At 52.5% G+C, this 27,283-nt stretch overlaps 1 protein-coding gene across 10 annotated transcripts in view, besides 13 other annotated features; it reads right to left on the bottom strand.

Moving 5' to 3' along the window:
- SH3BP4 (SH3 domain binding protein 4) overlaps window positions 1-27,283 on the bottom strand; it is a 103,698-nt gene that overhangs the window by 39,241 nt on the left and 37,174 nt on the right. For 9 of the 10 annotated variants that reach the window (XM_047443849.1, NM_014521.3, NM_001371302.1 and 6 more), the window contains one exon: window positions 21,098-21,171. The gene's annotated coding sequence lies outside the window, so the exon portion shown is untranslated. Of the gene's footprint in view, window positions 1-21,097; window positions 21,172-21,513; window positions 21,635-27,283 lie in introns of those variants that run through there. The other variant, XM_011510893.2, reaches the window with a different exon arrangement.
- Window positions 3,243-3,819: an enhancer, noted in NCBI's record as "H3K27ac-H3K4me1 hESC enhancer chr2:235921299-235921875 (GRCh37/hg19 assembly coordinates)". NCBI's record gives its function as "activates a minimal SCP1, AML or CMV promoter by ChIP-STARR-seq in naive H9 embryonic stem cells {active_cell/tissue: H9 hESC(naive)}" and the evidence as "EXISTENCE:reporter gene assay evidence [ECO:0000049][PMID:30033119]".
- Window positions 3,820-4,395: an enhancer, noted in NCBI's record as "H3K27ac-H3K4me1 hESC enhancer chr2:235920723-235921298 (GRCh37/hg19 assembly coordinates)". NCBI's record gives its function as "activates a minimal SCP1, AML or CMV promoter by ChIP-STARR-seq in naive and primed H9 embryonic stem cells {active_cell/tissue: H9 hESC(naive and primed)}" and the evidence as "EXISTENCE:reporter gene assay evidence [ECO:0000049][PMID:30033119]".
- Window positions 4,396-4,972: an enhancer, noted in NCBI's record as "NANOG-H3K27ac-H3K4me1 hESC enhancer chr2:235920146-235920722 (GRCh37/hg19 assembly coordinates)". NCBI's record gives its function as "activates a minimal SCP1, AML or CMV promoter by ChIP-STARR-seq in primed H9 embryonic stem cells {active_cell/tissue: H9 hESC(primed)}" and the evidence as "EXISTENCE:reporter gene assay evidence [ECO:0000049][PMID:30033119]".
- Window positions 7,932-8,568: an enhancer, noted in NCBI's record as "H3K4me1 hESC enhancer chr2:235916550-235917186 (GRCh37/hg19 assembly coordinates)". NCBI's record gives its function as "activates a minimal SCP1, AML or CMV promoter by ChIP-STARR-seq in primed H9 embryonic stem cells {active_cell/tissue: H9 hESC(primed)}" and the evidence as "EXISTENCE:reporter gene assay evidence [ECO:0000049][PMID:30033119]".
- Window positions 9,926-10,515: an enhancer, noted in NCBI's record as "H3K27ac-H3K4me1 hESC enhancer chr2:235914603-235915192 (GRCh37/hg19 assembly coordinates)". NCBI's record gives its function as "activates a minimal SCP1, AML or CMV promoter by ChIP-STARR-seq in naive H9 embryonic stem cells {active_cell/tissue: H9 hESC(naive)}" and the evidence as "EXISTENCE:reporter gene assay evidence [ECO:0000049][PMID:30033119]".
- Window positions 10,516-11,103: an enhancer, noted in NCBI's record as "H3K27ac-H3K4me1 hESC enhancer chr2:235914015-235914602 (GRCh37/hg19 assembly coordinates)". NCBI's record gives its function as "activates a minimal SCP1, AML or CMV promoter by ChIP-STARR-seq in primed H9 embryonic stem cells {active_cell/tissue: H9 hESC(primed)}" and the evidence as "EXISTENCE:reporter gene assay evidence [ECO:0000049][PMID:30033119]".
- Window positions 11,104-11,693: an enhancer, noted in NCBI's record as "H3K27ac-H3K4me1 hESC enhancer chr2:235913425-235914014 (GRCh37/hg19 assembly coordinates)". NCBI's record gives its function as "activates a minimal SCP1, AML or CMV promoter by ChIP-STARR-seq in primed H9 embryonic stem cells {active_cell/tissue: H9 hESC(primed)}" and the evidence as "EXISTENCE:reporter gene assay evidence [ECO:0000049][PMID:30033119]".
- Window positions 12,982-13,820: an enhancer, noted in NCBI's record as "H3K27ac-H3K4me1 hESC enhancer chr2:235911298-235912136 (GRCh37/hg19 assembly coordinates)". NCBI's record gives its function as "activates a minimal SCP1, AML or CMV promoter by ChIP-STARR-seq in naive H9 embryonic stem cells {active_cell/tissue: H9 hESC(naive)}" and the evidence as "EXISTENCE:reporter gene assay evidence [ECO:0000049][PMID:30033119]".
- Window positions 16,274-16,950: an enhancer, noted in NCBI's record as "H3K4me1 hESC enhancer chr2:235908168-235908844 (GRCh37/hg19 assembly coordinates)". NCBI's record gives its function as "activates a minimal SCP1, AML or CMV promoter by ChIP-STARR-seq in naive H9 embryonic stem cells {active_cell/tissue: H9 hESC(naive)}" and the evidence as "EXISTENCE:reporter gene assay evidence [ECO:0000049][PMID:30033119]".
- Window positions 17,066-17,695: an enhancer, noted in NCBI's record as "H3K27ac-H3K4me1 hESC enhancer chr2:235907423-235908052 (GRCh37/hg19 assembly coordinates)". NCBI's record gives its function as "activates a minimal SCP1, AML or CMV promoter by ChIP-STARR-seq in naive H9 embryonic stem cells {active_cell/tissue: H9 hESC(naive)}" and the evidence as "EXISTENCE:reporter gene assay evidence [ECO:0000049][PMID:30033119]".
- Window positions 18,795-19,089: a silencer, noted in NCBI's record as "tiled region #6657; K562 Repressive non-DNase unmatched - State 21:Repr". NCBI's record gives its function as "represses a minimal TATA promoter and a strong SV40 promoter by Sharpr-MPRA in K562 cells {active_cell/tissue: K562}" and the evidence as "EXISTENCE:reporter gene assay evidence [ECO:0000049][PMID:27701403]".
- Window positions 19,715-20,009: a silencer, noted in NCBI's record as "tiled region #6611; K562 Repressive non-DNase unmatched - State 22:ReprW". NCBI's record gives its function as "represses a minimal TATA promoter and a strong SV40 promoter by Sharpr-MPRA in K562 cells {active_cell/tissue: K562}" and the evidence as "EXISTENCE:reporter gene assay evidence [ECO:0000049][PMID:27701403]".
- Window positions 24,458-25,229: an enhancer, noted in NCBI's record as "H3K27ac-H3K4me1 hESC enhancer chr2:235899889-235900660 (GRCh37/hg19 assembly coordinates)". NCBI's record gives its function as "activates a minimal SCP1, AML or CMV promoter by ChIP-STARR-seq in primed H9 embryonic stem cells {active_cell/tissue: H9 hESC(primed)}" and the evidence as "EXISTENCE:reporter gene assay evidence [ECO:0000049][PMID:30033119]".

Below are 27,283 nucleotides of genomic sequence, written 5' to 3'. Positions count from 1 at the left end.
GAGGGCGGTCAACTCCCCAGGCCCAGCTTAGCATTCAGCATCACCAGACACTTCCAGTCACAGAGGAAAGTGTTCCCTTTCTAAGTACAACACCGCAGCACACCCAGTACAACACATGCTCAGGTGACTTACAGGAAAATTGCCTGGCCTTCCAAATCCCTTCTTACACAGAAGCAGCAGAAAACAAAGCACCTCTTACTTTCATTCCTCAGATGTGCCTCGTGTTTTTGGCCCAGGTCTCTGTCCATGTGGTTACGTCCATCACAGCAAGCTCCCCTGGGCCCAGTGCAGTGGCCACCTTAACTACCCCTCTCCCCTCACTTCTCCTCCCCCCACCCCCCACCCCTTGCTGTGACATCTAAAGATGTCTCCAGACATTATTTAATATCCCTGGGTGGGGAAGCAACTCTCCCAGAACTATCGCTTTAATCTGAGCTTCTTAATCCCAGCCAAATGTGTGTCCCCCAAATCTCTGCCACGTACCCCCATGTGACTGATGCTGATGAGCACAGGGGACCCCACGAGGCCCATCGTTTGCACCTTTCTCATACTGACCCAGCTCAGCCACTCTCAAGATCAACTAGCAAGGCGCCCATGGCTGTGGTCTCTTTCTGGCAATACCATGCAGGAGGACACCTGAGAGGGAGCTTCCCTGGATGACGTGTTACTCTTGAGACAGGCTGGGCACCACATTAAATAACCAGCCTCCCAGATGGTTCACACCTTTATCTGTTCTCAGCCAGCCCCATCCTCTGGCCAACCCCACCACTCAGATCTTCAAGAACCTGCCCACAGCCTCTTTCTTCCCAACCTTCCTCTACCCGCCTGGGAAACGCTGGCTCACCAGAGTGAGCTGTACCCATCACAGTCACTGAAACCCTCTCACTGCTGGTCCTTCAGGCTAACACTGGACTCAAACCATCCTTGCATTCCCCACAGAGCCCTGCAGTCATGCCTAAGCACTGCAGTTATCAGTCACATGATCTGGGGAAGTCGCTGACCTCTGTGCCTCACTGTCCCCATCGACCATAGGGAGGGACAACAGCAGCGAGGGCTCCCATGTGAGATAATGTGGCACAGGCCTGGGGCATGCTCTGCAGAGGTTAGAAGTTGAGCCTTCTGCAGAGGTTCATCGTGACCCAGCTCACACCCAGGCCCTACATTTTTCCTCAATAATAGCTCAAAGTCTGTGAAAGTTTGTTTGACATACTCTTATTTTTACTCAGCCTTGCTGCTTCCCAAGTGTTCCACTGTGGTCTGGAATGCAAAGAATTACACCAGATTGGGTTAACAGGTGCTTCATTAAATTGGGTAGTATGATTTCTTTATTAACTACTGATCAATTACTAAATTTTACCTCCACTGACAGCTGTGGCAACTATGGGCTGCGCATAGTGAAGGTTTAGCAATATTCACTGCACCTTATTTGCATTTGTTTGAGCCATTTAAGGCCCAAACAAGGGGTTAAAGGATAACACAGAAATGCTTGTGAGCAAGCACCTTTTGGCTAAAACCTAAATGCCACCAGGTCAGGGAGAGGATAATACTGAGAAGTCACTATGTTCCCATTGTTTTATTACACTTTGTCCCTTCTAAAGATGCTGAAGTCCTCATCCCCAGTAGCTGTAAATGTGACTGTCTTTGGAAAGAAGGTCTTTGCAGATGATCAAGTTAAGATGAAGTGACTGGGGGGCCCTAATCCAATAGGACTGGCATCCTCATTTATACAAAGAGGAAATGTGGACACAGAGAGATGCAAACAAGGAAAGGTGATGTGAAGACCCGGTGAGAAGGTGACCAACCGCAAGCCAAGAAGGGATGCCAAGGAGTGGAAGCCAGGAGCGGAGAATGGGACAGATTCTCCCTCACAGCCTCGGGAGGAACAGCTCTGCTGACACTTGATTGTGGACATCAGGCTTCCCGAACTGAGAATAGATGTCCACGGGGAAGACACCTGGCTGGTGGTGCTTTGTTATGGTGGCCCCAGGAAACAAACATTTCCCTAAAGGCTAAAACTGAGAAGGCTGGGACACACCCCTATTCTCAGAACTCATTTCCCCCAATGCCATGTGGGCACTTCTTCCCCAGCGCCTCCAACATCTAACACAATGCAGACTCCAAGAGCACACAGAGGGTAAGCTCCCCAAAAAGAGGGACGAGGCCTCCACCACAAAACTCGGCCAGCCTCCACGCTCGCTGAGTGGACTTTCCTAAGAGCCCAAAGTATCCGGCATCGCCCGATCCTGCTCGCCAAACATTCCTGAAGGATCAGGCTGATGTCGGCAGGCAACGGGTAATTACACCTCTATATCCACCGTGCAATTTATAAAATCCTGCTATGTCACCGTAAGAGCCACGCAAAGGCATTTCTTTTTTTTTTAAGTTGATTAACATATACTTTAATAGCTAATAATATTATGATAAACCTTTTAGTAAATAACAATTTTATAGAAAACAATAGTACATAATACACATATATTCTATAAGTACATTGTTTATATATGGTAGATAGTAGTAATCATTTGCATCTGAAATCAATCCTAGGAGGGGGTTAATATTATCATTCTGTTTTATAGCTGAGGAAACTGAGGCACAAAGAGGTTAATCTTCACACTCCGCTTACTCACCAGGTGACCCTGGGCAAAGGCATTTCTTGATGGCAACCAAATCACTGGGGCTTTCACACTAACTTTCACTAAGATACTGGAACTATCTGAACATTGCAATTAACTAGGAATGCGCTCAAACCATTAGAAAATGGGGGGAGAGGCTTGGGAATAAAAGGACAGAGCAGAACGGAGACCCTGGAAGCGACTGCAGGCAAAACCCCCTTACCCTCAGTCCAACAGTTACATTGGGAGCTCTTGAGGCAGTGTTGATCTCCCCAGAAAATCAAGTTCCTCCTGGTGGGGCCCAACTCGTCTGCAGCGGTATATGCACCAACTAACAAAATAATTACTAATGCAAATGAGTGCCCATCCCTAGTCACAGCTCTAAGATCAAACTCCAAGGAGAAATTTCCAGCAGCTGGTAGGAGCTGAGTGAAAACCAGCCAAGGGCGGGAGACCCCAGCCTGCAGGAGTGCTGGGAAGCACATGGACTGCCCAGACACCGGAGACAACTGGAGAAGGGGGAACAGCTCCATACACAAGGTTCCTGCGTGATTGTGGGGAACACGGGCTGGACCTTCTGCACAGAAGGGAGGAAGGGCTGGCAGCGAACCACACAGGCCAGGGAGAAAGCCACTCGGACAGCGGAGGCCTGAAGACCTCCTCCCTTCCCACGCTGGCCAGATGTGCCTTGCGAGTCAGCACTTAGGGTTTTAATGTGTCTTCTCTCACAACTGAATCTCACCTCTGCTGATGCAAGATTCATTCTGGGAAAAGACCAGGGAACAGAAAGGCTGTTTTGGAAACATTTCTTTTTATTGTGAGTGGGCTGAAATTTCCACAGCCTGGGAGAAAAGCTGTGTCACCATCTGCATTTAGGGAGCGTGCACATTCGGCGTCCGGCCTCCAGCCCCACAGCCTAGGCGCAGAAAGGCCAGCCCTGCTCCTGGAGGCCTGTGCACTCATCTGGTGTGGTCCTTGGCTTTCTCACCTGATCCTTGGTAAAATATTAAAAACTCATCCCTGTCTCCTTCCTCCTGCTCCTTGGACCACAGTGGGGACTAAGTTGGGACAATGGCACGGCATGAGTTGGAAATGCATGTTGGGGTTAGAAGTGCGTAATGCACTCCGAGATGGAAACGCATTTTAGGGTTAGATGTGCGTAATGCACTCCGAGGAGTAAGGTGGGTGATAGCAAGAGCTGTTGCACCCTGCAGGCACTGCAGCCCAGCCGGCCAGGCAGGTGAAAGGAGGGAACTATGAGCGAGGCTTGGGGTCAGGCCAGGCCTGCAGGCACACAGGTCACCCGGCAGTAAAAGGAAGAGCCCTCCCTTGCGGTGCGGCTGGTTATTGTCCCCACTCAGACACAGGGTGTGCTTTCTTTAGGTGGGATGTACAATGATCCAAACATGACAACCAGGAAGAAAACTTGGCAGACAACTCAGGCGTCCCCTCGGCTCCCATTTATAGAACGTTACAGGACACATTTGTAGCCACCACCCTTCTCAACCTGTGTAAGTGGAGCCTGGTCAGCAATGACCTGTCTGTGGGGTGAAGACGCTGGGTCACTGGCTGTGGCTGTCAATCACTGAACTGTGCTGTGTGCAGCAGGGACCCCAGGGATGGTCTGCCGAGGTCAGGGCGCTTCCCATCCCAGTTGCCGTTCTTGTGTCTCCTCTGGGCTGGCTGTCCCTGCCAGTACCCTGAGCCACTGTCAGCGCCCCGTAACATTCATGAGCAGCTGGAGGGAAGATGCCAGAGTGTTTAAACCAATAAGCTGCTCCCTGCATCCACACTGAGTGTGCGGGCACCAGCCCCATGCTTTCCCTATAATAGGACCTAATCACTTTATTGTAACAGCTTATTGAATTGTGTGTCTCTCCAGCCAAGCTGTGTGCTCCGGGTCAGCAAGGGCTATGCCTGTCTCTCAGAATCCCATCCCCCACCCAGAGCCTGGAATGCAGCAGCAACCGCTCAACGGACACTAATCAACTGCAAGGAGGGCTTCAGGGTGGCTCCCATCCATCTCCTTGTATATGAATGGGGCTGCTTCCCAAAAGCAAGACTTCTTATGCTCATATCCTTCTCATTTCCAGCTGGTACAGGCATATGTTCTGACAAACAGAGAGTTATCAGAACTGGAGTCTTCCTTAATGTAAGTCGAGAGGAAGGACATTCACTAAATACACAGGTACTGAGCCTTTGCCAGGAATACAAAGAAAAGCAAGACTGTCGCTGTTCTCAGCAGGTTTACGGAAATGACAAAGACACAGATGAGAGCTATCATAGAGACTACGATCCAGGGAAGACAGCGAGAGCCACTGTTATGGGTGGAACTGAGTCACCCCAAAAGATGTGTTCAAGTCCTAACTCCTGGTACCTGTACATTTTACCATATTTGGAAATACAGTCTTTGCAGATGTGACGAAGTTAAGATGAGGTCATACGGAATTAGGATGGGCTCTAACTCCAATCACTGGTGTCCTTATAAGAGGGAAATTTAAATCCAGTACAGAGACACAGACAGAAGAGGGCCACATAACAATGAAGGCAGATATTTTTTGAAGGAACGTGGCTTTAAGCTAACGAAGACTGCCAAAAACCACCAGAAGCTAGGAGAGAGAGGAAGGGTTCTCCTAGGAGAGAGAGGAAGGGTTCTAGGAGAGGGAGGAAGGGTTCTCCTAGGAGAGGGAGGAAGGGTTCTCCTAGGAGAGGGAGGAAGGGTTCTCCTAGGAGAGGGAGGAAGGGTTCTCCTAGGAGAGTAAGGAAGGGTTCTAGAAGAGGGAGGAAGGGTTCTCCTAGGAGAGGGAGGAAGGTTTCTCCTAGAAGAGGGAGGAAGGGTTTCAGGAGAGGGAGGAAGGGTTCTAGGAGAGACAGGAAGGGTTCTCCTAGAAGAGGGAAGAAGGGTTCTAGGAGAGAGAGAAAGGGTTCTCCTAGAAGAGGGAGGAAGGGCTCTCCTAGGAGAGGGAGGAAGGGTTCTAGAAGAGGGAGGAAGGTTTCTCCTAGGAGAGGGAGGAAGGGTTCTCCTAGGAGAGGGAGGAAGGGTTCTAGAAGAGGGAGGAAGGTTTCTCCTAGGAGAGGGAGGAAGGGTTCTCCTAGGAGAGGGAGGAAGGGTTGTCCTTGGAGAGCGGGGAAGGGTTCTCCTAGAGTCTTTGGAGAGACACAGTACTGCCAACATCTTGCTTTCAGGCTCCAGCCTCCAGACTGTGAGAATGTGTTTCTGCTTTAAGGCACGCAGTCCTTGGCACTGTGTTACAGCAGCCCTAGGGAACCAGTATGCCCTGCAACATTCATTGGCTGCTGGGTGTGTGTCAGGCACCATTCTAAAAGCTTTCAATGTGTTAATTCATTTGTGTATCACAAGTGCCCTATGAGACAGATAAGGATTATGACCTCTATTTCACAAATGAGGAAACCGAGATGCAGAGAAGCCAAGCCTCTTGTCCAAGGTTTTCCAGCCACCAAACAGCTGGACCGAGTAGTTCTGGGGCCTACTGTGTGCATCTTGCCCTGCGGGCCTCCCCATGAAGCAGGCTGGGCCCAGCACGGGAGGTCAGTGCCACAGGACTCAGACAGGCAACTGGAGATGAAGTGGGGTGGGCCCAGGGACAGAGCAAAGGGGGCTCACAGAAACACCCATCATTTCTGGTGCATGAAGGTATACTGGCTCAAGGTTTATGGAGAAAACCTGGGGTGGGAGCCATAGGGGCCGTGTGCACCATGGGGAGGGGTCTCTAATCTGCAAGTCAGGCTGCCAAGGAGGGGATGATACACCCTCAGTAGTTTGGGGGATCCCGGGGATGGGACGAAGGGTAGACAAGCAGGAGGTAACCCTGAAAAAAGACCCTCCAGGAAGCTCCAGCACTCACCAGAAGGAGGTGACTGAGCATCTATACCACGGCAGGGAAGGTTTGAGGAGAGGAGAGACTAACACACTTTCCCAGGAGCAAGAGGAAGGTCCTGGGGGTGACATGGAGGTGGCGAGCGGAAACCACAAAGACGCTCTTAGCTGGGATCTCCAAAATAGGCTGAATGTGGGCAGCATGGAGAAAAAGGAAGGTAGAGGGTTTTCTCCTGGACATGCCAACATAGGGTACCCACGTGAGGAGCAAACACATGGCTCTGGCAGTGAGAGGTAAATCTTGATTAGATCTGGAATAGACATTTGGGGAGAGATCCATAGAGAGATCCAGATCAAGGATATGGGAAGGAGGCAAGAGTCAAGGGCAAGACCCCAGAGAACAGTTACCACCAAAGGCAGGCCGGCTAGCAAAGAGCAGACACAGATGCAGAAAGAGGCCAAGGAGAGAGAGAAGAGACACAACAGAGAAGCCAAGAAATAATGGAGGCCAACGGAAGGAGCTGAATCCCCAAAGCACTCTTAGACACAATGACCTAGGAGCTCCGTCCTCCAGGGTCCCAGGCACACCACACCACGGCCCCTCTCCCAAACTCTCCTTTAAGATCCTCTTATCTCTGGCTCATTCAGTGACACTTTGGTCCTTTCAACCATCCCACCATACTGGAGCGAGCCTCTGAGTTTTGTTCCTTGGAAGTGGAGGGGACAACTGCCTTTGCAGAGTGGAGGCCCACGGCAGACAGACACACACTGCAGGCCGGATGGCACCTGCAGAGCTCAGAGGGGAGCTGGGCAGCAGGAGGGCCCAGAGAGCACTCTGGGAAGCCTGGTTATCCCAAGTAATAGTCCTTCAGGTGCTAGGAGGCAAGTATATTCTACCCGGAACCATCTCTATTTCAACAAACTCACCAATGGGTCAGTGATGAACATTAAGCTCTCAGCTATGGGGAAACATTCTTATGCAAATCAGCTGATTTCTAGACAATCCCAGAGAACACAAGCTGTCCGTCCACCTGTCCCTTGGGCAAATGTCAGCCCAGCCCCTGTAAGCCAGCTGGAACCCCGGTGTTGTGCTGGTGTGGTAGAGCTTACAGGACAGTCAGACAAAAACAGGCAGGCAGCAGCCAGCTGCTCCCATTGCTTTCTTTTTTAAAGCAAAGCATAAATGAGCAAAGTGTGTGAATCACCCCGTTTTTCAGTAGGGCCTCTGCTACAAGCCCATACCAGGTGGAGATAAAATAGAACAAAACCTACCCAACAGGTTTCCTAGCGGGAGAATGAGTTCACCAGAGGCCGGTGGCCTTTTGATAATTCACAGCTTGTTTGCCTTGGAGTTTTTACAGCGAGTAGGGAGAGGTGCTTGGAAAGGGCACCAAGAGTGATCCAGAGCCAGAGGACACTGCCAGAACCAAGGGGAGCTTGGAGAAGCTTCTTTCTTGTCTCCAACTAGAAAGTACCTAAGGAGCATTATTCTACACAAAGGGTACCAAAAAGAGAATGAGGAGAAAATAACCACCTACAAGGAGAAGCGGTACAAGAGGTAGCACCTCAAGCGTTCTCCGCCTCCTGCTTTATTTCGCCATGGTTCCTGAGTAGGCCTCGGCTGGTTCTTCCTGGCGTTTTCTCTCTGGCCCTCCTGGGCCCTGCAGGGAGGCTGCAGCCCAGAGCTCATGCCAGGCGACCACAGAGCCCCAGCTGCATCAAAGGGCCTCCCTCCCACCAAGGGGCTGTCCCAACCCAGGGCTTCAGGCTGGCTGAGCTGGGAGGTCAGGGTGGCAAACAGGCCTCCTTCCTTTCAGCTTATACACATCCTGCGGTGGCCCCTCAAGCTGTGCCACACCTCTCCGGGCACCAGATCCCACCTAATGGCTCACGACACTGTTCCCACCCAGTCTGGAGAGGAAGGCCACACAGAGGGCCAAGTCCCAGGGCAGCTTTCCTGACAGCTCTGAAACCTCCAAGCCACCCAGCTGCGACTCTCCCTTTCCCACAGGGGTGCAGCTCACGCGGCATCCTCCACCCCCAACGGCTGGTCCTTCTTGGCCTCCTTCAGAGGGTCTCCTCCCCTGACTGCCCTTGACGTCCAACCTCTCCGGTGCCCATCCCTGCTCTGCTGGTCTCCTCGCTGGCGCATTCTCCTCGGGTGCCTGAGTCCACCCTGGGCATGGCTAGGGGCATCTCTGCTGATGGCCAAACCGTGTCTCTACCCTGCCTCCTCAGCACTACCCATAACTGCCCCCACGGGCTCAGGATGGCCGCAGCCCGGGCTCAGGATGGCCGCAGCCTCTCAAGCACTGCACGCCTGGTCTCTTCTTCCCCACTTAGCAACTGGCAGCGCCCAGAAATCCCTCATCCTAAATTCCTCCTTCCTCCAAAACCAGTCAATCAATTCTCTAGGTGAAACAGCAAACTCTCTGGAAAACCATTTCTCCACCTTATCACTGCTGACATTTGGGGCCGGATCCATCTTTGTGTGGGCTGTCCTGGGCACTGCACGATCTGCAGCAGCGTCCTCAGGCTCTACCCACTCCATGCCGGTTGGAACCTCCTCCCTCCTCCCTGCGTGGTGACAATCACAAATCTCCAGACATTGCCAAGTGTCCCTGGGGGGCTGGGAGAGGCAAGGTCGCCCCAGGTGAGAAGCTCTGTGGTAAAGGATCAGAGAGTCAGTATCTGGGGCTTTTCAGGCCATTTGGTCTCCACTGCAACCTGGAGGAAGCAGGGAGGAGCTGCTCTGGACCCCACCTGCCATCTCTCCATCTCTGACATCTCTGACCAGCTCCCCTCTGTGCCTCCTGCTCCTGCCTTCCTGCAGGGACTCACCTGTCTCACCTGGACTCTCCCACTCAACTGCCTCCACTCCCTCCCCTCCCTCCCCTCTACTTGATTTCACAGGTGTGGGCTCACCCGACCCTAGGAAATGGAATTCATTTCCATTCTGACCGGGGGAAGATGACATCCTTTACCCGTGGCCAGGCCCTGTGCTAAATGTTCCGTCAGCTCGTTTAAGTCTCTGAAGCAGATCCGATGAGTAGAGGAAATGGAATGGATTTGGGGAATGAACTTGTCTAAGGACACACAGATGCGGCGTGGCACCCCCAATCTTCTTCACTAAACACCAGGTGCATCAGCCATGTTGCTGCTGTCACGGAGGTCCTGCCCTAGTCCCCCTCCCTTTATCTCCCCTAACCCAGCCCCTCTTTGAATCCCCAGGCAAAACCCAGATGGAGGGTCAGAGCTGGAGGGTCTTGGCAGCCGTGCAGTAGTACAGACGGACGCTTCCATTTGGGAACAGGCCTCACATGCTTGGCCTTGCCAGTCTCATCGGAGAGCCCAAGGGGTGCTGGCCCAGCAGAAATCTAGGCTGGGTGGCCCCTGGCAAAGCAGAGCGAGGGGGGCCCCTGAGTCCACAGACTCCTGAGAGCACAGGCCCCTGAGAGCACAGGCCCTTGGGAGCACAGGCCCTCTGCTTCTGAGAGTCCTGTGGTCCCGCCTGCAGCCAGCCCAGCACCATCGGGACCTTCATCCGCTGGCTTCTTTCCGGGAGTGCTTTTATATCACAGCTAAAAATCCATTAGGAATAAAAGGCACTATGCTTCGTTTCCTAAAAAATGCTACCCCACAGATTTTTGATGGATCCACTCTTGACCAAACCCATGATGCGTATGATACCCCCTGGGGCAGCAAGTGGCCGCTCTGAGATTTTCTGAACACACTCACGCTCAGCCCAAAGGAAAAGGGCAGGAAAGAAAAAATCCTCGCGGAACAAAGCCCGCAAAGACAAAGGAGACCAAGGCTGACTCCCATCTCCCACCTGCTGGCCTTTTCCCGTCCTGCTCGCTAGGTCGTAAAAGCCGTGGCCGGCGTGTGCTCTGGGTACAAAGCAGGCCCCATTCTCAGGTCACTCCACTCCAGCCAGCCCAGCACCATGCCAGGACAGGCGGCTCCTGCCCAGGATTAGTGGCTGGGGCCAGACAGCTGCAGGGGCTGGGCCGGCTTCCTACTCCCCCAGGGATCAAAACCTCCCTCTGGCGCCTCCCACAGCCAGGAACACAGGCGGGCACGCAAGAGCGGGATTCCAATTGCAGGAGCTAAGAGTGCTTGGCTGTGTGTAGACCCAACCAAGCCAGCCTGCCTGGGACCCTGGGACGGCCAGGGCTGGCTTGTTTACAATGGGCCACCCCTCCCAAAGCCAGCATGCTCTGGCTCTCCTCTCGTTCTGCCCCCACTGCATTTTGTAAGATGTGTGTGAAACCTGCAAAGCCTGGATCCCTGGGAGGGTTCAGCAAACATGTGCTTCCTTTGAAGCTCTGAAAGGCAGAAGCACAAGAGAGGTCAGCCTGTAGCCTGGACACGAGGAAGCCAAGATCAACAACTAAGCAGGGTGGCGGAGGCGGGGGTTCAGCAGCTCTGAGGGGCTCAAGGTGTCAGGGGAAGATTTGTTAAAATGCAGGTTCTGGGCCTGCCTTGGAGATCTTCACTCAGTAGGGCTGAGACATCACTCAAGGCCCCAACAGGAAAGGGACAATTTACAACAGTGAAGGGACCCCTGGGGGAAGTGACGCCAGGGAAGTGGGGAAGGGGGAAGCCTCCACTGGAACCTGGGGGAGACAGGGACCCCCAGTCAGGGGAGCCGGAGTGAGCCCCAGGCGAGGGGCTCCCCTGACACCTCCCTCTCCACCGCAAGCCAGAAGTCAGGGGAGCCCCCTGGGGTACAGCCAATTCAGACCACTCCCTGGGCCAACAGCACAGCAGGGCTGGGAGGGACAGACAGACAGACAGACAGACATGGCCAGCACAGGGCATGCCCAGGAAGCTGCCTTTCCACAGCAAGCCTCCTGTGTGACACCTGGGCAAACACCTGGCCTAGGTCTGTTGTTGACTATCCTGCTCTCCACAAGCAGTGCTTCCTCGCAGTCCTGTGTTAACACCCAGGGGGATCTGCAGGCGGATGGCACCTAACACAGGCCTTTATGTGACAGCGACCCTTGCTGGTCCATGCCAACAGTGAGTTCAACAACATACCAAGCCCTACCTCCTGGGAGATTCATAAAATCCTGGGGATAGGCATGGGGTGGAGGAGAAGGAATCAAAAGCCAGGGATCTCTCCAAGAACTTGGAAATGAGAGAAGACAGCTCTTAGAACAGAATTAGACCATCAAATACATGAATCCTAGTAGCACCAGTCACAACAGCCAGAAGGTGGCAACGACCCAAATGTCCATCAACGAATGAAAGTGTAAACAAAATGTAACATAGCCATACAATGGAATATTATGCAGCCATAAAAAGGAATGGGATTTTGACACATGCTGCCACGTGGATGAACCCTGGAAACAGTCTGCAGTGAAAACAAGACAGTCACCAAAGGCCACCTATTGTATGGTTCCATTTATAAGTCATGTCCAGGATACACAAATCCATAGGAATCCATAGAAACCGAAAGCAGAGCAGTGGTTGTCAGGGGCGGGAAGGAGGGGCAGCGACTGCTAATGGGTGCCCTTTAGGGTTGAAAAAATGTTCTGGAGATGTGATAAGAGGTGGTGGTTGCACAACTTTGTGAATATTCTATACAGCACAGAATTGTGACATTTCAAAATGGTAAATTATATGTTATGTGAACTTCATTTCAATAAAACTTTTTAAAAAAAATAATGAAACCCTGTAAAGAAGCAAAGCCACTCTAAAGAGGTCCAGTGCCACCGAGGCGACTACAGGCAATGACACCTTAAGAAGGTGCCCATGAGGAACCCATCTGAGGCTAAAATATTATGCACATGCACAGAGAACAGTCTGGAAAGATACATTTATTAAAAATAACTGTGACACTGAGAGCATATTTTTGTTATGAGAAATAACTACTAAAGCATAGAAAAAGAAAACCTATGTTTAGTTAGGAGTTAGGAGGGTACCTAGTCAGTCAGGCACAGGAAAAACGCCACCAACAGGGGAAGCCGTGGCAAACTTCACCGAGTGACAGCCAGGAGCCGGGAGCAGTTGGGGTGCTAACGGGGAGCCCCAAAGCCTGCAGTCCCACTGGAGCAATGTACCCCACAGAGGGCAGGTACCTAGGGCCATCTTGGGTGGGTTTTAGGACTCTCAAAACCCAACTCAAACCAGCTAAGAAAAAACAGGAACAGACTGTGGCCCCTAAAATCACACCGAGGTGAGGACAGGGGTGGGGCCATCCCTGGAGCCAACTGGATACAGACACTGCAAGCCCCCCAGCCTCCAGCCTCTGTCACCATCACTGTGAGTTCAGCTTCTGTATGCCAGAGCCACATCTCCCTGCATAGGAGCGTGACTGGGAAGGTGTCACACGCCCATAACTGCAACTTCTCACTCCCGTTTTACAGATGAGCAAACTAAGGCCCAACAGAGGTCAGTGAGCAGAGCCATGCAACTGTTCCTCACCAAGATTTGACCCCCTCCACCCCTCAGACCAGAGAGTTTAGTTCCAGAGTCCAGGCTACACACAGGTGCTGGCAAAATGGGAATCTGCTTCTCAGCAGATAAAACAGTAAACAGACACTCTATCCTTCGAATGACCCTCATTCTGCTCTCATGCCCCGACCTGTACAGTGAGGATGCATTATCTGCACCTCCAAAGTATCCCCTTTTTTCCTGTCAAATGAATACATTGGTACCCTGGCCTCAGTGGCCTGCGTTTGTAGGATCTAAGTCCACCCCAGAATCTGGTGTTTGAGAGCTAGGCCCTGGCCAGGGGAGAGTTCTCCTCGGTCACGCTGGTTCCAGCCCTTGGGTACTGCTTCCTGGGTCCCTGCCACAGAGGACCAAAAGGACAGGGCCACGCTGGCCCTGCTGCCAGCCATGCCCCATCCACCGAAGCCCTGGGCTTATTCGATCAGAAGCCTATTCACGTGTGATAGCTTGAAGATTTTCTAAAGAAACGTAGCATCCAAGTTGGGCAAACTATTTCATAGCAACTAAGAGGCAGACCTGCCTCCTGGCACACATCTATGCCTGGGCAGATGGCAGCCAGGTTCAAGTTACTTCAAGTTCTTTTGAAATCAGGAGATCAAAGGCAGAACGGAATCAGCATTCCTGTTGGAGGTTCATCCGGGCCCTCCCTGGAATCTGCTGCTGTCAGGCAACTCCTCCCTCTGCTGACAATTCTAGAATCTTGTGTGGCCTTCCGTTATCTGAACCCAGCCCATCTGCTCTGGGGACCCTATGTCACGGCACTGGGATCAGAAGATTCTACTGGGGTCCATCCCTGCCAAATGCCTGACCCTTTTTGTTTTACTTGTTTTGTTTTTGAGACAGGGTCTCGCTCTGTCATGCAGGCTGCAGTGCAGTGGCGTGATCACAGCTCACTGCAGCCTTGACCTGCTGGGCTCAATCAATCCTCCCACCTCAGCCTCCTGAGTAGTTGGGGATACAAGTGTCACCAGCACGACTGGCTAATTTTTTGTATTTTTTATAGAGACCAGGTTTTGCTATGTTGCCCAGGCTGGACTTGAACTCCTGGACTCAAGTGATCCGCCCGCTTCAGCCTCCCTTGGATTACAGTCATGAGCCACCGCATCCAGCTTGACCTTGGTTTGATGACTTCAGCTTCTCTGAGGCACAAGTTTCCTCATCTGTAAAACGAGGCTGCTAATGAATATTTGGCTCAACCCACCTGTCCTTCAGAAGATTACGCAACATAACAAACCCAAGACAGCTTGGCAAACTATAAACCACTGTGCACAATTTAAATATAAAATAAGCCTGCAGGAGAGTTCTTCAAATCCTGTATAGTAACAGTTCTCTCCCGCAGCTTCCTCTTCGCCAAATCTGACGATGGCCCCAGAATTGCATCGTTTAAAAATGTACCCTCCAGCCCAGCATGGTGGCTCACACCTGTAATCCCAGCACTCTGGGGAGGCCGAGGCGGGCGGGTCGCCTGAGGTCAGGAGTTTGAGATCAGCCTGGCCAACGTGGTGAAACGCTGTCTCTGCTAAAAATACAAAAATTAGCCAGGTGTGGTGGCGCACACCTGTAATCCCAGCTACTCTGGAGTCTGAGGCAGGAGAATCACTTGAACCCGGGAGGCGGAGGTTGCAGTGAGGTGAGATTGCGCCACCGCACTCCAGCCTGGACAACAGAGTAAGACTCCATGTCAAAAAAAATAAAAAACAAAAAACAAAACACCTCACCCTCCTTTGAGAGCCAATTCATAATTCCTCTTCAAATGCAGCACTGAAATGTCCAGGCCGGAACACCAAGTTGCCCGAACGGTCCGTGAGAACTCATCTCTCCAGTCACCTGTACACAGGCTTCCCGGATGCGGCCTCTTGCCCTGGACTGTGGGTTTCTATTAACCTATCTAGGGGAGCACCTTCGACGTTCAGGCATTGTTCAGAATAAGACCAAATTCAATGAAAAACCTAAAGATAATTTTCAGAAGCCAGGTCTTCCCTGTTCTGTAAGCAAGCAAAGAGTATCTGTACTTAATGAAAAGCACAAGAAATAAAAGCTAAATAAAGGGAAGGAGAGTTTTACACTGGTTTCTGTCAAGTGTCATCTCCGTTTCAGCTGTGCACTCTGGCCAAGACATTGAGGCCCCATTAGGTCCCGCCTCGGCTTATCTTATCTCCAAGTGCGATAGGCTTGTCTTAGGCCTTCCTCCAGCTCAGAGGTTGTTAACGTTTTTTGAGGGTGCAAATCCTCTAAGGAATCTGACAAAGTCTCTGGACCCTCTCTTTAGAAAACTACCTCCACCCGTAAAGTTTAGCATGCAGTTTCAGGGGTTTCACAGACCCCCTCAAAGGGCCACGCCAAGGGCCCGGGAGCCCAGGATAAACACATCTGTTCTGTTACTGATAACAGCTACCTTCAGAAGACCAAGGCCGGGAAGAGCAGCAGATGCCCCAAGTCAAGCCAGAGCCTCTGTCAACACTGTTTATAATTAATTTCTCAAAAACTGGAGGCAGAGACGAGGTTGTACGTCCCAGCTCAGACACAAAAGTGGGCACCGTGTAAACGGGATTTATGGGCAATGATAAGGTAAGAAGGAAAAGAATCAAGTTGTGTTTACTGAGAGCAAAGTCCAGAGCTGCCTGGGGGAAGGAAAGAGGTCAGAACAAGGTGACGCCTGCCCACAAGCAGCTGGGGCGATGGGGAGACACCACCAGTGCAGAAAAAGGCAGAACCCACACAGAGGCTGCTGGCAGTGGGGACAGGCCCCAGTGTGTGGGGCACCAGATAGCGGGTAGGACCCGGCACAAGTCCCTGGCCTTTATGTCTCTGCTTTCTCTTCTGCCAAATGCGAGGCTGGGCTCTGTGATCTTTCAAGTCCCTCTGACCCTCCAACAGAGTGGAAAGGAGATTCAGAGCACACCACATGTGGGACTACAGGACCCACCTCTACGCAATGGGGACATGAACATCGCGGCTTGACGTCCTCCATGTCAGCGGCTCAGAGACAAAGCATCAGAGCCCGAGCCCAAGATCCAGGCTTCCCCTTCTGGCTAAGCCCCTCTTGGAAGGAGGGGCCCCGTGTTATTGACTCTGGCCAGTGGATCATGCTAATCCCTCCTCTGACCTTCATATCCCCTGGAACCAAAGGGCGGGGCCCAGATCAGGAGAGCAACCTGCATGGGAGAACGGCATGAATGAAACGTCAGGCACAGGGGCAACCCCCCAGTCACATCAATAACATGTTAACAGTGAAGCCACACAGCCCAGGCTCGGGGGCCCTCCATAAGCAGGTAGGAGAAGTGAGGCCCAGAGAGGCTACAGGACTTGCTTAACGTGATAGGGTTGTAGGGAGTTCCGAAAGGAAGGAAGAAGGGAAGGAGGGAGGGAGCCTGCAGAGAAGCCCAGCCGAGGATAAGTGAGTGCCACTTCCCCTATTGCCTGGGGTTCCCAGTGGCTGTCGCTGCCTGGCCCAGGCACACCCCCAGCCTGGAAACCCCTGTGGCCTCACCCCTCTCCAGATGGATCAGTGGTGGAGACCAGGTACAGGTGAATCAATCCACAGCGGACCCAGAGCTTGAGCTGGCCCAACCAGCTGCTTCTGAGACTTGGATGCTCAGAAACTCAAAAGCAGCCCAAGGGCAGGTCCTGCAAAGGGCTGCTGCGCATTGACTGGCAGCCACTCCTGGGCCAGGTATGTGCTGGTGGTGAGCAGCAGAGGCCGCGTGACAGAGCCAGCTGCACAGGTGAGAGGAAAGTCTAATTTTTGATGACCAATTCATTTCTCAAAGTTTGAGAAGATTCACTGTGCTCTCTTTCTGGATCATTCCAATAATCCTGCCCTGTTTTCTTCTTGAGCAAGTCTGAGGGTGTCTTAGATTCCTTTTTAGTCTTTGAGAACCTTCAGAGACCCAGGTTCCATCTTTACCAAGGAGAAAACTGAGGCCCAAGGAAATTGATTTATGTAACATGCTATTGTGCCAATAATTGAAATCTGTCTATGCTTGGTCAGAAGCTCTTTGCATAGGTATTTTTCTGACCCAAGAATGAAACGCATCCAGGTGCCCTTCCGAAATTGCAGTCTGCCCAGACAACTTTAAGGAATGAACTAACAACAGGGTGGGGGACAATTCCAAACACAGAGACAGGAAAATCAGGGCTTTTCTGATTTGATGGGAAGCTTCTTCAAAATGGGAGCAGATTTCAGCAAGAGATTCAAAGGCTCTTGAAATAAATAATAGCGGAATCTTTCTTTGACTGATGTCTTTTGTCCCCAAAGCCTCAAGTATGTTAAAAATCCCTCCTGTGAACTCACAACATGCTTGCTTTAAGAAAGGTGTAAGGCAGGCTAGTTATGACACCACAAAACAAGCCTCTCAAGAAGGCAGGCGCCGTTCTTAGTCCAATGTGTCGCCGGGAGTGCAGCTCACGTTTCTTTCTCCTCCGTCCAGATTCCCCAGCTTCCCTTCGGCAGCTGATGGCCTCACCAACGTGCATTTGCAGCGGTTTATTCACTGAGGCCCTGCGGACGTTGTCACTGGAATGCAGAGGCTTGGAGAGACGCTGAGCACAGCTTCCCGTTCAGCCGCTGCATGGCCTCAAGTGCCCTTCTCCTCTATTGGATTATCTGCTGATTACGGGGAGGTCAGGCCTTGGCAGGTGCAGAATCAGTGCCTGCAGGACACCTCAAAGGACAGTCCAAGCAGACCTGGTCATGCTATTAAGGACGCTGGCCTTAGTTTCTCTGTCCCAAGGATGTATGAAAGCCAGGATCTCTGTCACAGATCGAAGGCCATGGGGACATAGCCCAATGCAAACCTCAAAAGTAAACCAATTAGTGGTAGCCAGAGGCGGGGGCAGGGGCAACGGGTGTGGTCATGTAGTGAGTACAGGGTGCTCTTCCAGGGTGATGACGAAGTTTTGAAACGAGAGAGAGGCGGTGGTGACACAGGACCAAGAATGTACTCAATGCCCACTGCAGCGGTCAGCTGGAGGTTATGTGACTTTCACCTCGAAACCAAAACCAACAAACAAAAAGCTCACCAAACACACAAAGGGATAGGAACTTTGGAGAACCTCAGTCTGACGTGACCCCTGAAGACTTTCCACATGGTCCAGGCAGGAGGTGTGCAGGCAGAGCCTGCGTGGCCAGTCGCCCTGCGAAGAGTGGGTGACTCCGCTACCACCCATTTCTTCACTGCACCTTCAACTGTCGTGTGAATTTACAATCCCAAGAAAAAAAATTATGTTTACCTGTTCATTTTTACGTCTCCTGTTTGTGGCTCATGATTTATTCCCATTGGCCAGTCTAGAGGGGGTGTGGTACCAGCCCACGTGGTTCACGTGCCCCCCCAGGCACCCAGCTAAGCTAAAGGAACAGAGGAGTGGTTTAGGGGACACACAAATGCAGCCGGTCTGCAGGCTGGGCTCCGAGACTTTTTTATTTTTTATTTTTTTTTGGAGATGGAGTCTCGCTCTGTCGCCCAGGCTGGAGTGCAGTGGTGCAATCTCAGCTCACTGCAATCTCCGCCTCCTGGGTTCAGGTGATTCTCCTGCCTCAGCCTCCCAAGTAGCTGGGACTATAGGCGCCCACCACCACGCCCGGCTAATTTTTTTGTATTTTTAGTAGAGACAGGGTTTCACCGTGTTAGACAGGATGGTCTTGATCTCCTGATCTCGTGATCCGCCCACCTCGGCCTCCCAAAGTGCTGGGATTACAGGCATGAGCCACCGCACCCAGTCTTCTGATTCTTCTTAATCACCCTCTGAACTTGAACTTGAATGAAGTATTCTGGGTTTCTGAGTACTCTGAGATGAGTTTCTCATCTGTGAAACAGGCAGGGTGTTCCCAGGCCTTGAGCAGACACAACTACAGAGGGTGTTCAAGCCACCGGGGGCTGGAGCTCACCCTTCCCAGCCATCAGTGGGACAGTGGGAACAACCACAGGGGCAGGCCTTGTGGGGCCTCGATCTCCGCACCGGCTCCGTCCCCTAGCTGACACTCCCCGGAGGAGCAATCGGCCGTGCTCTGCTGCAGGCCTCCTGTTTCCTCAGTCATTCTGGTCTCAGGAACTGAGTCAGGGAGCATTTCTGCTGCCTCCTTCATCCTGAAGGACACCAGGCACCAGGATAAACTACCTCTGATGGTGATGACAGTGGGAGCAGGATCAGGTTAACAACTTGAACCCATGAGGTGGGAACTATGTGCAAATCACGAAATTTGCCACGGACAAAACTCGGGGCCTGGAAATGGAAACCCTGGGTAGCCGTGTCTCTCACTGACCCCCAGGCAAATCAGACTGTGACTATTCAGAGGCACCAAGAAAACACTACATGTATGCCTCTGGGAAAACAAGGCAAAACGAAAATCAGCTTAAAGTGTGGTGGCCTGTGGATGGTCTCTAACTGCTGTGGGGACCCACGCCCCCAAGCACCCCTACACCCCACCCAGAGGCACATGCAACGCTCTGCCCGCTGTATCCAGGGCAAGTCTGGGTGCACCTCCCTCACCGGGCTCCCGGAAGCCTGTGTGCCCGCCACGGAGACAAGCGGGCACCGCTGTGGGATGGCGGCACCCGTCCCACCCTCCCGTTCCTCTTCCCAGATGTCTTGCTGCCCCAGTAACTCTGGCACAGGGTCAGAAAAAGCAAACCACATGCGTGCCGCCCAAGGAACTGCTGGAGCCCGAGAGGGACCCCCATTAACCTCCTCCTGCTTTGCTCAGGATGGGGCCTGCTCTGGCGATGCCCCAAATGCAAAGTCCAGCGAGGCCAGTCCATGTGGGGGCCCAAAGAGAACCATGCCGCACAACCCCCTGGTGTCTCTCCAGTTTATCTACAGACAAGAACCAAGCTGCAGTGCTCGCCTTTGATTTTAGAAACCCCCGCTTTCTGACCAATGCCAGGCAGAAAGAATGCCAGGAATGTGGATGCCTTTCAGGAGGGTTCACCGCAGCCCAAAGAGACCACAGCCTCCAGGGCCAGGGGCTGCACTTATAAGGAAAGGCCTGCTGGTGGCCTCTGCCTGGGCTGAAGTGTTTCAAGTCGCTGAGGCCCCAGTGGGCGGAGGACTGACCCTGGGACCAGAGAACTCCTGAATTCCTCACGTCACTATGAAAAGCCCTGAGCCTCCTCCTGAACATCTCAAACCTTCTCTCCATCCTAAGGCACAGGCAGATACTGGAAAACAAAGAGACAGGACAGAAAGGGTGGGGGGAGAAGTTGAAATAAAATCCAATCAGCTACCCTCAGTTTACAGGATTTAAAGAAAAACCTGAAACAGTGCAAGTAGCTGCCTGCTTTATTTAGAAGGGCTTTTAAAATTCCAACGTGGCCCAGAAAGGAATCCCACTGTGAGCTGCGGCTTCTCAACTCCCCCTTTGGCCTTGAGCATCCAAACGTAGCGTTTACTTAGATCCAATCCTTTCTACTTGGTGGGGAAAGACTTGTATGTTGCTTTTCTAAAAAACTGGAGGCTGTGCCCGCCCTATGAGGTAGGTGATCCTATCCAACCGACTTTACAAAGGAGGGTGTTCCTTCTATTGCCAACCAGGAGTATAAAAGCCAAGAACAGCCAAGAAAACCTCCAGGAACATTTTACCAGAACACCATTTAATCCAGCTCTTCCTCACAAACACCAGCTGAGGCTTCCTTGGAACATTTTTTGCCAGCGTGTTTCAAGGACAAATGCTCCCCTGACGCCCCAGGGAGGGTGACCTCTAACCGCGGGTCCATCCCCATCTCGTCGCAGGGCGACGTGAGAACAATCCCTCCTTTGTGTACACACCACCCAACCTGGGCTCTGTCCCGCGGCTGCTGGGGTGGGGGAGCTGCTAGCCTGGCTTCTTGGAAGAGTGAGAACGTTCCACGGGTGGCAACAGAAAGTGGATTCGCTGAAAAGAGAAACACGGGGCTGTTCTGGGAATGCGCCGGGGCCGGGCTTCTGGATGCCAGGATGACAAATGACCTTCCCACACTGGGGACAACACTGTGGGCTTCGAGGACAGGAGGAGAGCGCCATGAGGGACAGGCCTGCAGTGCCTGAGAAAGGTCAAGTGTCACCAGAAGCTTCCAGAAGCATTCTCCCTCCTGCAGCTGCTCTGCACACGTTTGGGGCCTGTGTCCCCATGAGTCCGGCACCTTGGTCATGACATGGTAAAGCGGGTCCAGGTATGGCAACCCACTCACACCATGCCTGCACTGCCTACCTGGTACAGCCGCAGCCTCTCGCCATCAGAGAAGTCCCAGGACACGGCCTTCTGTCCAGGAGAGAAGGGAGACGCTGCAAGACAAGAAGGAAACACGAGTGAGCTTCAGTCCTGTCCAGCGCAGAACTCAGGCCTGCTTCCCGCCAGGGCCCCTTCACATCCTGGAGGACAGACGGGCTCTGCAGTGCATTTCCACAGCAGGTGAGGATGGTGGTGGACGCTGCCACGCGGCCCCCAGGTCCCCTTCTGAAGCCAACTCTGGAGAGTGGCCAGCGGAAGGACCTTCACCGGGGGCCACCCAGAACTGTCTCACTGGAAAGAGCCCTTTTGAGGCCACATCAGCCCCCTTCCTGGGCCAGCCTGCACCCAATGACCAGGCCAGTGACTAGCGCGGGGTAACAAAGCCTGCCCCTCACCCTACTCCTGAATCAGGGTGACTCGGCAGTCTGGCCCAGGCCAGAGCTCCTGTGGAGAAAGCGACAGGCTGCATGGAGGCTGCATCCCAGCCTCACTGTCCTCTTCCCCTGCTGCTGTGCTCCCCAGCAAACCTAAACGTCCTGCCCAGTGGCCTCTGCATCACGTTCCGCTTCACAGGGAGCCCTGCCTGTGACAATAGCTTATTGTGCCTTTTCTCACCCCAACAATGAGTCTCCCATCACCTGCCATTACTTCTGCTGCAATGACTGGCATTGTGAGCGCAACAGAAGCATCTTATCAGCTGCGCCCTGAAGATGAACCCCAGACACACCGCAGCAGTGGGGTCTCCTCCTCAAGTCACACGGCGCTGACATCACTACAGAGCCGGCGCCTTTGAGAGCAGAACCAGCCAACATCAATGCGACAGACGGAACTGCAGGTGCCACCACGACGCCCTCCCCCTCAGGCTGACTTCCTCCACAGGAATAACAGAGTGGGCCCCGGGGCCTTCAGAGGAATCCAGGACCTCATCAGACTGTGAAAGAAGGAGTGGGAACTTCCTTCTGGACACCTTCCCTCAATCATGGCCACTCATCCTCTGCAGGAACCAGACAGCCCAGAACAGACCTCCATCCATGTAAATATTTAACATGCAATTAAAAGGAGCGTCACAATCACCCAAGAAGGAAAGAATCATTCCCTGTGATGCTAGGACAACTGGCTGGTGTTCAGAGCACAGATCCCCCCTCTCAGGGCTTCAACTCACACCCAAAGACAAAATGAATTCCAGATCAATAGAAGGGTGTGGAGGGGAAGAGGGAGGGAGGAAAGGAAACCGCCCAATAGGTAATAGAAAATCTGGTTGTATAGTTGATCTCTACGTAGACACGGACCTTCTAAGGGTACAAGCGATGTGCAAAATCACACAGGCAAAATGAAAAGAATCAATGAACGCTACGAAAAAGGCCGCAACAATGTGACAAAATATATGCACAAACACAAAAGATCTGAAACCAGAGAAGACAAAAACAAAGGGTGGGAAGAGACAGGCGGGACTGCAGGTGCCACCACAGCTCCAACACAGCCACCTGCACCCAAGCTGATTTTCTGGACAGGAATCACAAGGCGGCCCCATTCTCGGCAGAGAAGGCAGGACGCCGCCATCCGTCCATCCCTCTCCTTTGAAATGGGTCTACCATGTTGCTCAGAGCTCTTCAGAATGTCTCTCAAAGTACTCGTTCTCCAAAGAGTCATGTCAAGACAGAACAGTTGAAAATCTCATCATCTTAAAAGACATAAAAGGGCACTGAAAAAAACCTGGGGGAAGTGAAACTACGAATGAGGCTGGCTTCATGGTATATGTCCCTGCCTTTTTCAGACTTCCGCAACTTCTCCCATTTCCTCTACCGTGAGCGTGCATTTCCCATTTTTTCTTTCTGATTCTAAAAGCCACTGCACCAGCATCTCTGAGAACCTAGTGCCTCTTCTTTCCTTTGTACCCCAAGCCCCTATGCCGTGGTCAGGGTTCTCAGAATCTCCATCCTGAATTCTAGGCAGGCACCGGCACTGCTGGGCCCCTTCATCAGGCGGGTCCATCGCAAGCCGTCATAAAGGACAGATGGGAACAGCCTCAGTGGGTATCCGCCTCCAGTGGCTGCAGTTACTACTGGGCCAGTGAGGAAATGAGGCGGGGGGCGAGTCCAGTGACACAGAACGGATCACCCCAAGAGAACGTGTGGCCCGAACATCAGCTCTGACGGGGGCTTCGAGAAACCGACCCCCGGGGCTCATCTCAGCCTCCTCACTCTGCCGGGGGCACTTCCTGAGACAAGCCCAAGGCAGGGACAACAAGCCCCACCGGGCGCTCCCCAGAAGGACCCAGCTCCCTTCACAGGAACTCCCCAGCCTCCCAGGCTGTGGGCAAGGCCTACTCCAAAGCCTGCCAGGTGCTGCCCAGACCCAGAGCCCACATGGCAGGAACACATCCATCTCCAGGTGCTGCCCAGACCCAGAGCCACATGGCAGGAATGTGTCCATCTCCAGGGGCTCCAGACCCAGAGCCACGTGGCAGGAACGCGTCCATCTCCTGGTGCTGCCCAGACCCAGAGCCACACGGCAGGAACGTGTCCATCTCTAGGGGCTCCTGATGCAGAGCCACACGGCAGGAATGTGTCCATCTCCAGGTGCTGCCCAGACCCAGAGCCACATGGCAGGAATGCATCCATCTCCAGGTGCTGCCCAGACCCAGAGCCACGCAGCAGGAATGCGTCCATCTCCAGGGTCTCCAGACCCAGAGCCACGCAGCAGGAATGCGTCCATCTCCAGGGGCTCCAGACCCAGAGCCACACGGCAGGAATGCGTCCATCTCCAGGTGCTGCCCAGACCCAGAGACACGCAGCAGGAACGTGTCCATCTCCAGGGGCTCCAGACCTAGAGCCACACAGCAGGAATGCATCCATCTCCAGGGGCTCCAGACCCAGAGCTACATGGCAGGAACGCATCCATCTCCAGGGGCCCACAATGCCTTCCTCCTTGTGACACTCCTCCCCCAGCTCACTTCACTCCACTTGGTCATGGGGGCTACTGAGGCCATGGAGCTGCCTGGAGAGCCGCCCTCCAGCCACCCCGAAGAAAACGACCTGCATGTGGTCCAGGGCCTCAGCCTCGCCATCCTCGCTGCTGCCCAGCCCTCCCCAGGCTGCCCAGCTCCTGCCCCCCAAGGCACAAAATAAATCTTCGCTGGAAACTCCAGATGCCACCTCGCCCCAACTCCAAAAAGCTGCTGTGCTCCTTTCTCTATTTAAAGAGAGGCTGCGCTGACAACACCCTCCGTCACTGTGGCTTTCAGCACTGATTATTTTCACATTTTTGGATAAGGGCCCTGCAAGCCCTCTGGAGCTTTCCTTCTGGCAGGTTCTTTAGGCAGCGTCTTTACTTAACAGCCTTGTGGTCCTGAAGCTGAGCCCGGCAGGCTCCCTGGACAGGGGGATGATTGGGTAAACTCATACCTCATGCCTAAGTATGGGGGGACCCAGCTGCCCTGACAGGGGGCTCAGAGACGCCAGAACTGGACCCTGGGCAGGGACAGGTGCACATGTGGCACCACTAGCCCCTCAGTGCTGGAGTGGAGGGAGGAGAGAATCTGGCTTGTCATGTCCGGGAGGTCCCAGTGGATGGATTCAGTGGACAAGACCGCTGGCCCCTTTCCACTTCCCCAACTCCTGATCAACCTCTCCAGAGGCCCAAGGCCTCTGGACAAGGACCGCCTTGCTGAGAAGAGGGGGGTACGATCTTTCAGTCAAGCACTGTTCTCCTGTGGGCACCACCAGACACCAGTGTGGACCCGTCAGTCTTCAGGGGCCCCAAGAAAACCACACGGTTTAGCGTGGGTGGATGGAATTAGCAGAAAGTCTAGAGGATGCCTTATTCTCCAGTTGTTTCAAGAAACATCAGTGTTGTCATTAACCATGATTTGGGGCAAATCTCCAAAAACCACAATGCCAAGAAGACAAGATTCTGTTGTCTTCAGCAGCTCAAAACACAAGTGTCTTCTCCCACGGTGCAGAGAGAAGGGCAGTTATGTCACTCTGTCCATCTGAGTAGCTGTTTTAACAATGGTTGACAGTCTCAGCTGATGACAAATCTGCAGAGAGTTGATCCCACCTCAGAGGGTCTGGGAGGGTGAGTGGATAAATGATATGAGGCTCATGGTCCTCACCCTACCACATCCAAACAGGAAGCTATATTCACACACAGAGATGACCACTGTGTCCTAAATCCTCATTCCAGGACAGTCACCAAGACAGCTATTCACCCCATTTCCCAATGGTATAGATGGAATTGCATCCCCCCAAATTTGTATGCATCACCAGTACCTCAGAAAGTGACCTTATTTGGAGACAGAGTGTTCAAGGTGCAATCAAGCTAAAGTGAGATTACCAGGGTGGGCCCCAGTCCAATATGACCCAGTGACTTTATAAAAGGGGGGAGTTTCAACAGACATGCACACAGAGAGGGACAGGTGACAGGATGACTAAGATGGGGGGTGAGGCTTCTACAAGCCAACAGCTACCTGCAAACCCCCAGATGCTAAGGGAGAAAGGGCTGGAACTGATTCTCCCTCAGCCTCAGAAGGAACCAGCCCTGCTGACACTCATCTTGGACTTCCAGCCTCCTGACCTGTAAGACAATCCTTTTCCACTGTGCAAACCACCCAGCAGTTTGTGGTTCATTGACAACAGCCCCGTCAAAGTAATTCTCACGGCTCTGCCCATCTCAGAGGTTGCTGAGGGAGTGACAGATCTGAAAATGCTCCGTGAACTCTTCACCCAACTCAACCTACAGGCTGGCCTGTGCTGACCACACCAAGAGCTGGTCCACGCTGCAGAGCTGAGTCTTTCAGGGCCAGACCCGCATGAGTTCCCAGGGAATATGCAGGAACACACAAAACTAATTTTGTTCCAACAACTTCAGGTATGGGCCCAAAAGTCCAACCCACTTAGTTATGGGACACATTCTTGAAGGGTTGAGGTGAAGCAATGTTAGGCTGGTGTTGAGTAAACTGGAAAACGTGTAAGCCTATTTCTTAGATTTTTTAAGCCTCCACAGTGGACATCAATGGAGCCATCGGCCAGAAGAGCCTCTACAGCCTGCATCCCCGACAGCTGGATGACTGGGGTCGCTCCAGCCTCACCCACCACCATACATCAGAGCCAGTCAGTAGAACCAAACTACAAAGTAGAACTAAATACACGCTGAGTACCATTTATCCAAAATCCCTGGGACGAGAAGTGCTTTGGATTTCAGATTTTGGAACATCTGCACATACACAATGAGATATCTTGCAGATGGGACCCCAGTCTAAACACTAAATTCATTTATGTTTCATCCGTACCTTATACACATAGTCCAAAGGTGATTTTATACAACATTTTACATAATTTTGTTCTGGAGTTTTGACTGCAACCTGTCATGTGAGATTAGGTGAGAAATTTTCCACTTGTGGCATCACGTTGGTGCTGAAAAAGTTTCAGAGTTTGCAGCATTTTGGATTTCAAATTTTTGGATGAGGGGTGTTCACCCTGAAAATTCTTGTCCAACCCAGAGGCAAACTACAGCCCGCGGGCCAAATCCAACCTGGCCACCTATCTTTGTATGGCCCATGAACAAAGAACGTCTTTCTATTTTTAAACAGTTGGGGGGAAAATAAAAAGAGTAATATTTCACGACGTGAAAATGATAAGAAATTTAAGTCGCAGTGTCCTTACCTAAGTTGCACAGAGCCCAGCCCCACCAGTTTATCAATAGCTCTTCTGTGCAACCAAAACAGTGGAGCTGTGACACAGACCTTATGGCCCACAAGGTGGAAAATAGTTACTCTCTGGCTTTTTACAGAGAAAAGTGTGCCAAGCCCTGTTCTCTACCCTTCCTACTTACGCAGTGGGCAAAGGGCCAGGCGGGATGTAGGCTCAGGCCAAACGGAAGTGGGCATTCACCCGGGTACATGGCTGCATGCCAGGAGTGTTTGCCAAGAGACCAGCTAGGGTAGGAGATGGCAAGAGGGAAGGAAAGAAAAGCAGACGTAGGTGTGGTCAGAAAGGGAGACGGGAACGGGCCCAACATCCATTTCAAGGTTTCTTTCTAGAGCTGGCTCCAACCTCAAAAAGAGGGGAGGCATCTCTGGCCCCGCTCTGGCAGCACAGTGACGCCATCCTCCTACAGCTTCGGGTTCGCACAATCAGTCCTCATGCACGGCACGTCCAAGACTAC

This window comes from Homo sapiens, chromosome 2, assembly GCF_000001405.40.
Source record: "Homo sapiens chromosome 2, GRCh38.p14 Primary Assembly".
NCBI classification, from domain to species: Eukaryota; Metazoa; Chordata; class Mammalia; order Primates; family Hominidae; genus Homo; species Homo sapiens.
This window is presented reverse-complemented; position numbering and strand designations above follow the sequence as displayed.